The sequence below is a fragment of the Homo sapiens genome, chromosome 14 (assembly GCF_000001405.40).
Source record: "Homo sapiens chromosome 14, GRCh38.p14 Primary Assembly".
Lineage (NCBI taxonomy): Eukaryota > Metazoa > Chordata > Mammalia > Primates > Hominidae > Homo > Homo sapiens.
In genome coordinates, this window is record NC_000014.9 from 21,992,000 (window position 1) to 22,004,068 (window position 12,069).

Consider the following 12,069-nt stretch of genomic DNA (forward strand, 5'->3'; position numbering starts at 1 on the left):
AAAGCTTAATATCAAATATTTAGAGGGTCCAGATCCAGTTCACAAATAGGGTAATTAGGGTGGATTTGGAGCTGAGAGGTAATACATTGATAACTGTCACACCCTATCCCTTGGGCTACTGATCTTTCATATGCATTCCTTTTTTTCTTTCTTCTTTCTTTTTTTGAGACGGAGTCTCATTCTGTCACCCAGGCTGGAGTGCAGTGGCGCAATCTCCGCTCACTGCAATCTCTACCTCCCAGGTTCAAGTGATTTTTCTGCCTCAGCCTCTCGAGTAGCTAGGACTACAGGTGCCTGCCACCATGCCTGGCTAATTTTTATATTTTTAGTGGAGACGGAGTTTCACCATTTTGGCCAGGCTGGCCTTGAACTCCTGACCTCAGGTGATCCACCCGCTTCAGCCTCCCGAAGTGCTGGTATTACAGGCATGAGCCACTGCACCTGGTCCATATGCATTCCTATATGCACATTTCAACTTCCAAACAATAGTGAAATGACACTATGTTGCTACCTAATAAGCTGAAGCTGTCCTTGAACAAGTGGAGTTTTCATTCTTTCTCCCAAATGAGATGATCCATAGTCCCAACAACCACTGTATGAATCCCTGACTGTATCAGCCACATCTCAAGTTCAGAGGAAGTTCTACTGAATATGCTGTTATATACAGACTAAATTATAAAGCTAATCTCCAATAATTTACATATAAAATAATTATGATAAGAAAGAGAGAATAAAATGGCAGCATATACAAAGAAACACTTACATATAATGAGCAAAGATAAAATACAGAAAGCTACCACATTCCTTGATTCCAGACTTGGTCCTGGGCTTCAATTGACATAGACAGCTTCCTTCTCTTGTTACGTATTTTATATTCTTCTGCCCTCATCCACGTCATCGGTGGATTGGAGTTATTTACCTGGTGGAATGACAAAAATCTTCATTCTCGAAGAGTCTGAGTTCTCAATAGTCATGGCTTTTAATTTGTTGCTGCAGGTTTCCCTTAACTTTTACTATTGGGCACGAAAGTGCCATTAGGCTCCTCAAAAAAATCCCCCGGGTTTTAGATGTAGCTCTCTCTACATGTGTTGTATGGCTTCTGGAGCTACTCGCCCCCTTCCTAACAACTTTGCAACATGTTCTGGTAACCATCACGGTATATTAAAACTTTATCGTATCTCCTCTTCCTGTTGAGCTGAATGTTCCAGAGAAGGGCCGTTATGTTCTCTCTGGCTTTAATCTAACCTTCTAACACAGTATGGAGCACACAATATGTACACAGTGAAGGAATGTTAAATAAATTCATTTAAACAAATAGAAAAATCAGCAATCCTCTCCTGTGAGCATGTGAGTCAACCTCCACTAATGTGATTTCACTGGTTTCTTCAGGGAACCGTGTCAAACCAATTAATACAGGCAAACAATATGTTCATCTGGGCAAACAGATGCCTAATCAGGTTAAGAGTTTTCTTAATTGGAAAAATAGCTTGCTTATGAAGACAATAGTTTTATCAATAAAACTCACCTCAAGACCTTCGGCACATCATTGTACCAATCCTAAACTCGTATATCATGAACTAGAGAAAATAGCTGAGAACTAGAGCTAGATAGTGAGTTCTTGGACATGCACACAAAAAGTGCAGTCTATAAAAGAAAAAAACGATAAATTAGCCTTAAATAAAATTAAAACCTTTGGCATTGTAGAAAGACCTTGTTAATAGAATAAAAGGCAACCTATAGACAGAGAGAAAATGTTTATAAATCACACATCAGACAGAAGTCTTATATCTACGATGAATAAAGAGCACGCAAATCTCAATGTAAAAAAGAAACAAATAAATAATCCAATTAGAAATAGAATAGATATTTCACCAAAGTAGAAATATGGGTGAAAAATAAGCAAATAAAAAGATATTCAATATCATTCTTCACTAGCAAAATGAAAATAAAAATCACAATGAGATATCACTATAAACATATTAGAACAGCTAAAATACAAAACAGTAATAATACTAAATGTTGGTGAGTATGTAGAGAAATGGACACTTTTATACATTGCTGGTGGGATTGTAAAATAGTACAGCCATTCTGGAAAATAATCTGGCAGTTTTTTTATAAAACTAAGCATGCACTTATCATATGATCACACCATTGTGCATTGGACATCTATCCCAGTAACATTCACATAAAGTCTTATACAACATTCATAGTAGCTTTATTCATAATTGCCAAAAACTGGAATCAACCTAGATATTTTTCAACGGGTAAATGGTTAAATAAACTATCATAGTTCATACCATGGAATAATATGAAAAAAAAAGAACAAACTGTTGATACATGGAACAACCTGTATGGGTCAATTCCCAAAGGTTACATACAGTTTGATTCCATATATATAACATTCTCAAAATAACAGAACTATAAGAGATGGTTGCTAGGGGACAGAGATTGGGCATGGGAGGGTGTTTGTGCATATAGAGGGTTAGGATGAGAGAATTCTATGTTGATGGAACAGTCTGAATCTTGATTATGTTGGTGGTTATATGAGATAAAATCAAGAACCACACACAAGTATGCATGCACACACGTGGAGAAAAGCAAGAAAATAGTGACAATTGAATACTACCTGTAGTCTAGTTAGTGGTATTTGAACAATGTCAATTTCCTGGTATTTATATTGAATTTCAGTTATATACGATGTCACCACTGGAAGAGGCTATGTGAAGAGTACATAGGGTTCTATAAACTATTTTGGCAACTTGCCATGGATTTATAATAATTTCAAAACAAATACAGTACTATAGTTTCAAAAATTGCATTCTTTACTCTCACCACCAATTTTATCAGTAAAACCGCTAAGAGTTGGGAAGGTGTGAAGCCGATGGTAGTGGATGCAAATTTTCCAAAATTCTAATTTTCACTTGGAAGCTCAAATATTATCATGGGTGACAACCACTATTAGTTGTTTTCCTCAAAATGGCAGGCTCACATTTTATCATTTTCAAGAACATACCTTCCAACTACCCAAATCTGCTGTTCTGTCACTCATGCCTTCAAGTAAAAAAAAAAAAAAAAAAAAAAAGTTCTATGAGAAACAGCTAGTTTAGCTCACAACTCAAACAATACTCCAGTGTCTTTCTCTCTTGAGGCACCACCGTGTTAGTACACCACAGATGAACTTTATGCATACGTCCTATGTCATCACACAGAATATTTAAACGGTGTACTCTCAAGGGTCAAGATTTAATTTAAAAAATTTTGCTTCTACATCTAGGACATTGTTGAGTAAAATCTTTTTCTCTTGCCAGTGTGGTGGTAATGATTATGTACAATGACTACTAGAATATTTTGGGTTCATTTATTTTACCTGTGTTAAAACATCAGCAATTGCATTTGCTTCATCAGTGTAAATGTCAACACAGTGAAAGACTCAAGTAATATCAGCACTATTATAAAAATAGTTTTATTCTACCTCACAGTTTTAACTCTATCTCACAGTTTTCCCAAGAGGTCAGCAATATTTCTGGTTACTTTTTGCAGATACAGCTAAATACATACAAATATTAAAAGTACTATATTCTTGACCTCCTCATTGTGAGACATTAGACACATCATTTAATTTCTTTGAACCAGGGTACATCTTTTAACTACTATTCTAAATTTGCTCACAGACTGTTTCAAAATTATCTGGAAGAGAGCAGACAGATTAAAATTTCAGTTTGTTAAATAACACTGGTTCTTTGCTCAAAAAGCTTTCATATGTCTTTATTTCGCACTGAAAAACATAAAGATTTATTTTGGCAGTCATCTGACCCAGACCCTTCCTCTAGACTTATGTCTTGGAACCCTCCAATCTACATATTGCTCTAGCCAGCAATCTCTTCTTCTCATTTCTTTTTTTCCTTTCTCTGTTCTCCTGTCTTCTCATCTTTCCCATCTCTCTCTCTGTTTTACACACAAAATACCTTAAAATCAATTTTTGGGAACATTTATAAAATACTCTAGAAGATTCTTGCTATTCTTTTTGACTGCTCTGCATCAGGACCCATTTTCTTATAACAATAATAATTTTTCAGTCACTAATGAATGTCAGGCACTGTGCTAAATGACATTTTATGATCTCATCGTTAACCTTCAACAGCTCTGAAAAGGTAGTATTATTATTTACTCATGATCCATGTTCTACAGCCAAGATAATGTAGGCACAGAAGACAGAAACAGCTACTGAACTGATAGATGTAAACCTGACTTCGATGGCCTGACTATAAAACTTCCTCTCTTCCTGGACCCGCCTGCCTCCTGCCATAGAAACTAAAACTTCTAGGTATTCACTGCTATGGGCTGAACTGTGTTTCCACAAAATGTGGACGTAGAAGCGCTAACCCCCAGTACCTCAGAACATGACTCTATTTGGAGACAGAACTTTTAAAGGTAAAGTTAAAAGGTGGTCTTGAGGGTAACCACTAATTTAATAAGACTGGCATCCTTAAGAGGAGATTGGGACAGATAGCACAGGCAAAGGGATGACCATGTGAAGACACAACAAGAAGGCAACCATTTATGAGTCATGGAGAAAGGCCTCAAAAGAAACTAAACCTGCCAGCACTTTGACCTTGAAATTGTAGTCCCTAAAATCATGAGAAAATAAATGTTTGTTGTTTAAGCCATGCAGTCTGTGATACTTTGTTATGGGAGCCCTGGTAAACTAATACAGCCTACTGGTTAGGCTTGATGTGGGCACATGGCTTGGGCTCCAACAATTAGATGAATTGTTCCCTAACTTTCACTCAGGAGTTACTTTTGCAAAAAAACAAAAACAAAAAACAAACAAAAAATGAGTAAGAGTTTCCTTTTTGAGAGTGGTGGTAATTGCAACAAGGTGGACATGAGAGTTTACAGGCTACAAGGCAGTGGAATTGTAGCTGCATACATTGTCCTGCGTGAACAGTCTTGCATAAACTACGGGCAGTATCTGGAGCTCAGGAAAGGAGCCAGTGGGATACTCAGAGGAGTGCTTCTCCAGAGTGATTTTCTGTACTGCTGCTGACTTCATAGCTTTTGAGTTCAGTTCTCTGACCCTACTGGAGATTCTGAGGTAAATCCAGTATTCATTAATTTATTCCTTTTCTACTTAATTTAGGCAGAGTCCATTTCTGTTGCCCATCAGTAAAAACCTTGACTTGTATATAATCTCATTCCAGGGAAAATTTTTTAAAAGGAAGCTCGTAGGTACATGATCAGAGGTCATAGTAACTACAGGGAATTTAACAGTGCTTCTCAGAGGTAGTCTGAAAATATTGAGCACCAACTGTCTTTCGTAGTTGAGTTCTTACCTGAATTGAAATGTATCTGTTCCTATTCTAAGTTAGAATTAGATTTCAATAAAGGCAGAGACTGGAATAGCTTTGTAATTTCTTCTGAGTCAGCTCTGAACACACGTCCTGATGGCAGCAGGATGATGTTACGATCACAAGAGGGCAGTGCCTCCCTCTCCTCAGACTAACTTGGCTTTAAATCAGCCTATCTGCATTGAAAGGAAAGGACTGAGCTTGCCTGTGACTGGCTAGGGAGGAACCTGAGACTAGGGGACAGAAAGACTAGGGATTCACCCAGTAAAGAGAGCTCATCTGTGACTGAGGAGCCTTGCTCCATTTCAGGTCTTCTGTGATTTCAATAAGGAAGAAGAATGGAAACTCTCCTGGGAGTGTCTTTGGTGATTCTATGGCTTCAACTGGCTAGTGAGTTGGGGATTTTGGTGATGGGAATGGCAAGACCAAATTTTAGAGCCCACAGGGCTGAGGGGTGAAGTGTTCTTATTAATTTGGAAATGTAATTTGAAAATGTAATGACTGACTCCTGGTCCCGGACCTGTGTTTCTGCCTAGGGGTGAACAGTCAACAGGGAGAAGAGGATCCTCAGGCCTTGAGCATCCAGGAGGGTGAAAATGCCACCATGAACTGCAGTTACAAAACTAGTATAAACAATTTACAGTGGTATAGACAAAATTCAGGTAGAGGCCTTGTCCACCTAATTTTAATACGTTCAAATGAAAGAGAGAAACACAGTGGAAGATTAAGAGTCACGCTTGACACTTCCAAGAAAAGCAGTTCCTTGTTGATCACGGCTTCCCGGGCAGCAGACACTGCTTCTTACTTCTGTGCTACGGACGCACAGTGTTCCCCAGGAACCTGCAGCCTCTACGCAAACCCTGCCAAAGCAGCTTCTTAGAAGCCCTAATAGTGGGTAGAATTAGTGGTTATGTCTTTCAGTCAAGAAGAGTCTACAAACAGCTGGCAAAGTAAAAGGGGAACTCTTTCAAATTCGTGATTTTTTAAAAAGCATCTTGGACTAGGGGAAAAGGCATGAAATTTGGAACAGGAAATGGAAATGCCAGGCTCAGTTCTGCTAATCCTGGCTACATAGGGACATTGTCAGTGTAGCAGCCTTCAATTTCCTCACTTGAAATAAAGGATATGGATCAATGAGCCCAAAATATTACTTAATCCCTAATTTTATTAGGGAAAAAAATCACTGGGCACTTGTGGAAGAGGAGGAAGGCTGCACAGTTTTAGAAGGTCTCATTTGTCCTATGTGCAGCCCTCCCAAGACATCAGTGGGTCTTTAAGGTGCATGAGGTGGCTCTTAGGTTCCTCTAATTCTTGTATAAGAAGCAGTAGATTCATTAAGCATTAGAATTGGAAGAGGTCCTAGGACTCTCAACCAAGCTTTTCATTTTAGAGCTGAGGAGTAAAACCATTGCATAATAAGACAGACAATTTTCTGAATCTTTGGAGTGATAGTGACAAATATCTGGATCTGATTTCACCATTTATTAGTTGTATGATTCCCAAGCTTCAATGTCTCTATTAGGCAAAATGGGAATTTATAAGAAAGTAACAACTTTTCCCCATCCAAAGGAGAGATAGGTGTTTGACACTACCAGGTCCTAAAACGCTGTGTTTTGAAAGCAGGCATTTTTAGTACCAAATACATAACAGTTTTTCAGCTATTTATTCTTGCTCCTACTGAGAAATAAATACTGACTATAGTTTTCTTGACACAGTTTAGATACTACTGAAAATGTGTTTGTGGAGAAAATTAGAGCATTTGTATTTAGGTTCATGCTTTGGTGAGAAAAGTGGGGGAGGGCAGGGAAAGGTTGTGTCAGACCTTGACCCATTAATATTAGCTGTACCAGAATCACTAGAGTATCTTTGAAGATCTGGACTATTAAGCTCAATTCTGGCTTACTCAATCAGCCTCTGATAAAGTGATGAATTTCAATTGTAATGAATATCTTCTATATATGTAAGAGATTGGCTCAGGTTCACATTTAAAAAACCCAAACAATAATGTTTGTAACAAGATTGACGAGTTTTTTTCCACATAAAGGAGCTCTGTAATATTCAGGGCTGGTGCTGTAGCTTCATCATGTTACAAAGGAACTAGGGTCTTTCTAGCTTACTGTTTTTCACTCTTAATGTGTCACTCTTTTTTTTACACTTTCAAGAGACTGATAGAGATCCTTCCACTTTATACACCTTCCAGACTGAAAGAAGGAGAAAGTCAAGGGCACATGTACATGCTGGCTGAGTCAGTCTTTTCCAGAAGCTCCGCCCAATGGCTTCTGCTTACACTCATTTGCTAGAGTGGTATTCGATGTTTCCACCTCCTCCTATCTGCAAGGGAGGCTAGAATATCAGGATTATTATCTAAGTATATTTCTATTCACAGCAAAATTTGGGTTCTATTAGTAAAAAAAATAGGTGATGATGGACATTTTACAGACAATTAGAAGTTTCTGCCAGACCCTCAGTTTAGGACATATTAGGACTCATAATATTTTTGGTTCATAGTTATTTTTGAATTACCATATCCAATGTATTTTCAAGTTCTATTGAGTGTACCACCTACTAAGTTTTCCAGAAGACATTACAACCTCTATAACCTAATTCACCTCCACACCCAAATTTAAAATTCTCCCTAATCGCTTACTCCTCTGCCCCCAGCAAGCTTGACAGACCCCATCACTTCTCAGTATAGTGCTTTGTACACAGTGAGGGTGACCTTTTCAGAGTGCAAATTTGACCATGTCAACCACCTGGGTCCTCACTGGTTCTTAGAGTAGAAAAAAAATTGCTTCATGTGATTTACAAAACCCTCCATGATTTAGACTCTTAATACCTCTCCAGTATCTTTCCACAATAAGCTCCTAATTTATCTTTTTCTTCAATACTGGTCCTATCTACGTTTCTTGAATGCACTTTGTTTATCTTATATAACCCCCTCAAAGCAATTTTAGGATACATTCTTACTCTTTTTAAAAAATTATTTTCTCTTCCCTTGAGAGTAGAGCCCAGTAAATGCCTACTTGTTCTCATACGTCTGTTCAAGAGTCAGTAATAGAAGAAAGCTCAATACGCTTTCTTAGAATTGTGGACCACTGCCTTTTTAAATGGGCAGTTTCTCCTTTTATTTCTTTATTTAATTAATAATTGTCTCTATTATTACTCTATGTGCTCCTTAAGGGCAGGGACCATTATCTGTGCTGCTCAGCCTTGAATCTGTAACACCAAAGTAACTTAAGCACTAAGATAATCAATTTTTCCTCTTCTTTCTTCCTATTAATTTATTTAATATAATATCTTTATTTTAAGCCTCCTCTAAGAGTTAAAATAATGTTGTAGTAAAAGAACACACAAGAGGTCGGGCGCAATGGCTCACGCCTGTAATCCCAGCACTTTGGGAGGCCGAGGAGGGCGGATCACGAGGTCAGGAGATCGAGACCACCCTGGCTAACATTGTGAAACCCCGTCTCTACTAAAAATAAAAAAAAATTGGCAGGGCATGGTGGCGGGCACCTGTAGTCCCAGCTATTCGGGAGGCTGAGTCAGGAGAATGGCGTGAACCCGGGAGGCAGAGCTTGCAGTGAGCCGAGATCGCGCCACTGCACTCCAGCCTGGGTGACAGAGCGAGACTCCGTCTCAAAAAAAAAAAAAAAAAAAGAAAGAACACACAAGACAATAGGGCTGAGTTTTTCAAACTATAGTCCATGGGTATTTGGAATTGTATGAATAAATTGTTGGTGTATAATGGGGGTCAGAAAACTATGGCCTAGTGTTCAAAACAACCTGCCACCTATTTTTGTAAAGTTTTATTGCAAAATAGCCATGCTCATCTATTTACACATTGCTTATGATGGCTTCCATGCTATAACAGCAGAGTTTAGTACTTGCAACAGAGAGTGTATGATTTCAAATATATACTATTTGTCCTTTTATAGAGAAAAGTTTACCAATCCCTGAGGTATAGAAATTAAATGAGAATTATTAGATCTGTGTGCTTAGGACAATGTAAAATAATGAAGGTACATTTCTAATAATCTAGATGACTAATAGAATAATCCCCTTGAATTTGATTTTTTTGTCACTTTTACCAAATTAAGGGTAAATGGGATAATAATACTCTACAAATGAAGACATTGCAGCTGTTTAAATGGTGAAAAGTTTTTGGAAAATTTTGGTTATGATATAGAACATAGCACATAGCACTACAGATGTATCACATAGTACTACAGATAGGGCACACTCCCAAGAGCCTGCATCTTTCCATTGAAAGAGGATGTGTTGCAAACCTTCATTGTTTGTATGCATCAACGTGCAATTCAATAGACATAAAAGTAGCAGTAAATAAAAAACATTTTTTTCAGTGCTGAATTCTTGGGTGTTTCATTAAATAATAAAATTGTATAATGGTGACTGACATGAGTATTTCTAAATAGGAAAAGTGAAGAAAAAATCCTAGTAATCACTAATCACAATAACTCAGACAATAGCACATCAAGCTCCAAATAACTTTAATCAAATCAGTTATTCAACTGTACACATCCATAGCTTTCTTTTAATAAGTCTACACTAACCGTTGAGTTTCAGTGAAAAATCATTTCTTACACTAATGTTTTAATTTGAATTTTATCGATTTTATATTTTGTTTGAAGTTTTTGTCTGATTTGGTAATTGTATAAAACCTGTGAGCCTAAAAAGTTGATACCCAATTTTATTGTTGGGTATATGAAACACCGTAATATTAAAAAAAATGGTTAGTATGAGAGTGGCTCCTTATAAGAAGACCTGCACCTTACTCAATTTTGAAGAACACGGAATGCACCTGCTACCAGGCCCTGGATCTACTCCTAAATGAAGCCAGTCACACCAGGGGCCTAAGACACTAGACACATCTTCCCACAGACTGTCCTTCATCAAAGATAATTTTGCCCACCAGATACAGCCATTCATTCATTTTTTCCACCAATTTTTAGGGGTTTTTTTTGAGCATTTCCTATGAGCTAAGGTTCTAGGAAAAGGGCTGCTGATAGTAATAGGATTCAACTTCTGATGCAGGAGCACTAAGTGCAGCTTGAGAAACAGGACAGAAATGATTCTAATATGATGTGATAAGGACAGAAAATATGGTGGGAAAAAGGAGAGCACTAACTCAGCTCGAGAGATGGCAGAATGTTTTCACATGGAGGTGATGCACTGGTTTTCAAAGAATGAACAGGAGTCATCCAAGTGAAAGGGAGTGGGGAGAAGGAAGGGCATTCTAAGCAGAAGTGCTCACCCCCCGGTTTTGGGGGACCAGTGGGAAATATGTCGAGAAAAAAATCTCACATTTTCTTTTTTTTATATTCTCAGGATATCCTGAGATGCCTAAAACTAAATTAACACTTGTTGTGAACACATTAGATGCAGGGAATGGGGAGATTCAAGGGAATCATATTGCTCTGCGCCTTGAAGAAGGCGACAGGAATCACCCACACGATGAAGTCAGCAGAGTGTTTGATGCTCCTTCCTTGAGTCCCACCCTTCACCTCGGACACCGTTTTCTTTCTGAGTCTGCAGGTTAAGCCGCACCCCAGGGTGAAAATGAACATCATTCTGAGACTCAGAGCAGGCGTCAGGGACAGAGAGGAGCCTCAAGAGGGCGCTGCTGCCTTCAGCTTGTGGTTTGACACAAATTTCATCTTTCCTTCCTTCGCACGTCTCTTTGTTCCAGCCTGTGGCCTGATCTTGTAGGGCAGTTTACTCTGCTTAATACGTGAGTCAAGATTTTGTAGAAGATTCCGCCAAAGACTCAACAACATAAAGAAATATATATACCTTTCGGTTTGGATATCTCTCAACAAAACCTTCTACTGCTTCTCAGCCAGCCATGCTGTCTGCTTCCTGCTCAGGACTTGTGATCTTGTTGATATTCAGTGAGTAATGTTTACTCAAAACTTCTGAGATGTTCTATTCCTTAGCTTTAGGATGACCTTTAACCCCTTCCAAACTGGAGACCATGCCTCTTCTATTGCCACTATAATAAAGTCTTTCCCTTTTTTAGGAAGGACCAGTGGAGACTCGGTTACCCAGACAGAAGGCCCAGTTACCCTCCCTGAGAGGGCAGCTCTGACATTAAACTGCACTTATCAGTCCAGCTATTCAACTTTTCTATTCTGGTATGTCCAGTATCTAAACAAAGAGCCTGAGCTCCTCCTGAAAAGTTCAGAAAACCAGGAGACGGACAGCAGAGGTTTTCAGGCCAGTCCTATCAAGAGTGACAGTTCCTTCCACCTGGAGAAGCCCTCGGTGCAGCTGTCGGACTCTGCCGTGTACTACTGCGCTCTGAGAGACAGAGTGGGAGGGACTGCAGCGAGAGCCCAGCACAAACCCTGGGGAACGCAGGTGGGGCCTGGGTGTGAGCCGCTTTGGGAGATGAATGAATATGGACTCTTGTTCGCTGGGACCCCAAATGGAGAAAATAATCTCATATTTCTCTGCATCAAAGAGCACAAAACAGAAATGTGGGCCCCTCACACATGGGATGTAGCTCACCACGAGAAACTTTTCCTAATATTCTGGAGTTCTGTGAGCCTTGTTTGTCCTTTGTCTCTCCTGCATGATTCTGTGAGTTTTACACATAAAAATGCAGGTTTTGCAGGGCCTGATGCTTCTTTGATTTCTGGGGCTCTCTTTAAGAAAAAGAAAATTAAATTATAAATTTAAGTTTCTAGGTTATGCGGTAGAA

General features: G+C 38.8%; 2 gene segments (V, D, J or C) and 1 further gene, besides 8 other annotated features; all 3 read left to right on the forward strand.

The window, feature by feature from the left end:
- TRA (T cell receptor alpha locus) overlaps positions 1-12,069 on the forward strand; it is a 930,229-nt gene that overhangs the window by 370,096 nt on the left and 548,064 nt on the right.
- Positions 5,687-5,738: a sequence feature (TRAV17 leader sequence).
- Positions 5,687-6,169, forward strand: TRAV17 (T cell receptor alpha variable 17). The segment is given in 2 exon segments: positions 5,687-5,738; positions 5,885-6,169. Coding segments are annotated over 2 exon segments (337 nt in total), but the record flags the coding sequence as incomplete, so codon positions are not given.
- Positions 5,885-5,892: a sequence feature (TRAV17 leader sequence).
- Positions 6,177-6,199: a recombination feature (spacer).
- Positions 6,200-6,208: a recombination feature (nonamer).
- Positions 11,212-11,257: a sequence feature (TRAV18 leader sequence).
- Positions 11,212-11,674, forward strand: TRAV18 (T cell receptor alpha variable 18). The segment is given in 2 exon segments: positions 11,212-11,257; positions 11,386-11,674. Coding segments are annotated over 2 exon segments (335 nt in total), but the record flags the coding sequence as incomplete, so codon positions are not given.
- Positions 11,386-11,396: a sequence feature (TRAV18 leader sequence).
- Positions 11,682-11,704: a recombination feature (spacer).
- Positions 11,705-11,713: a recombination feature (nonamer).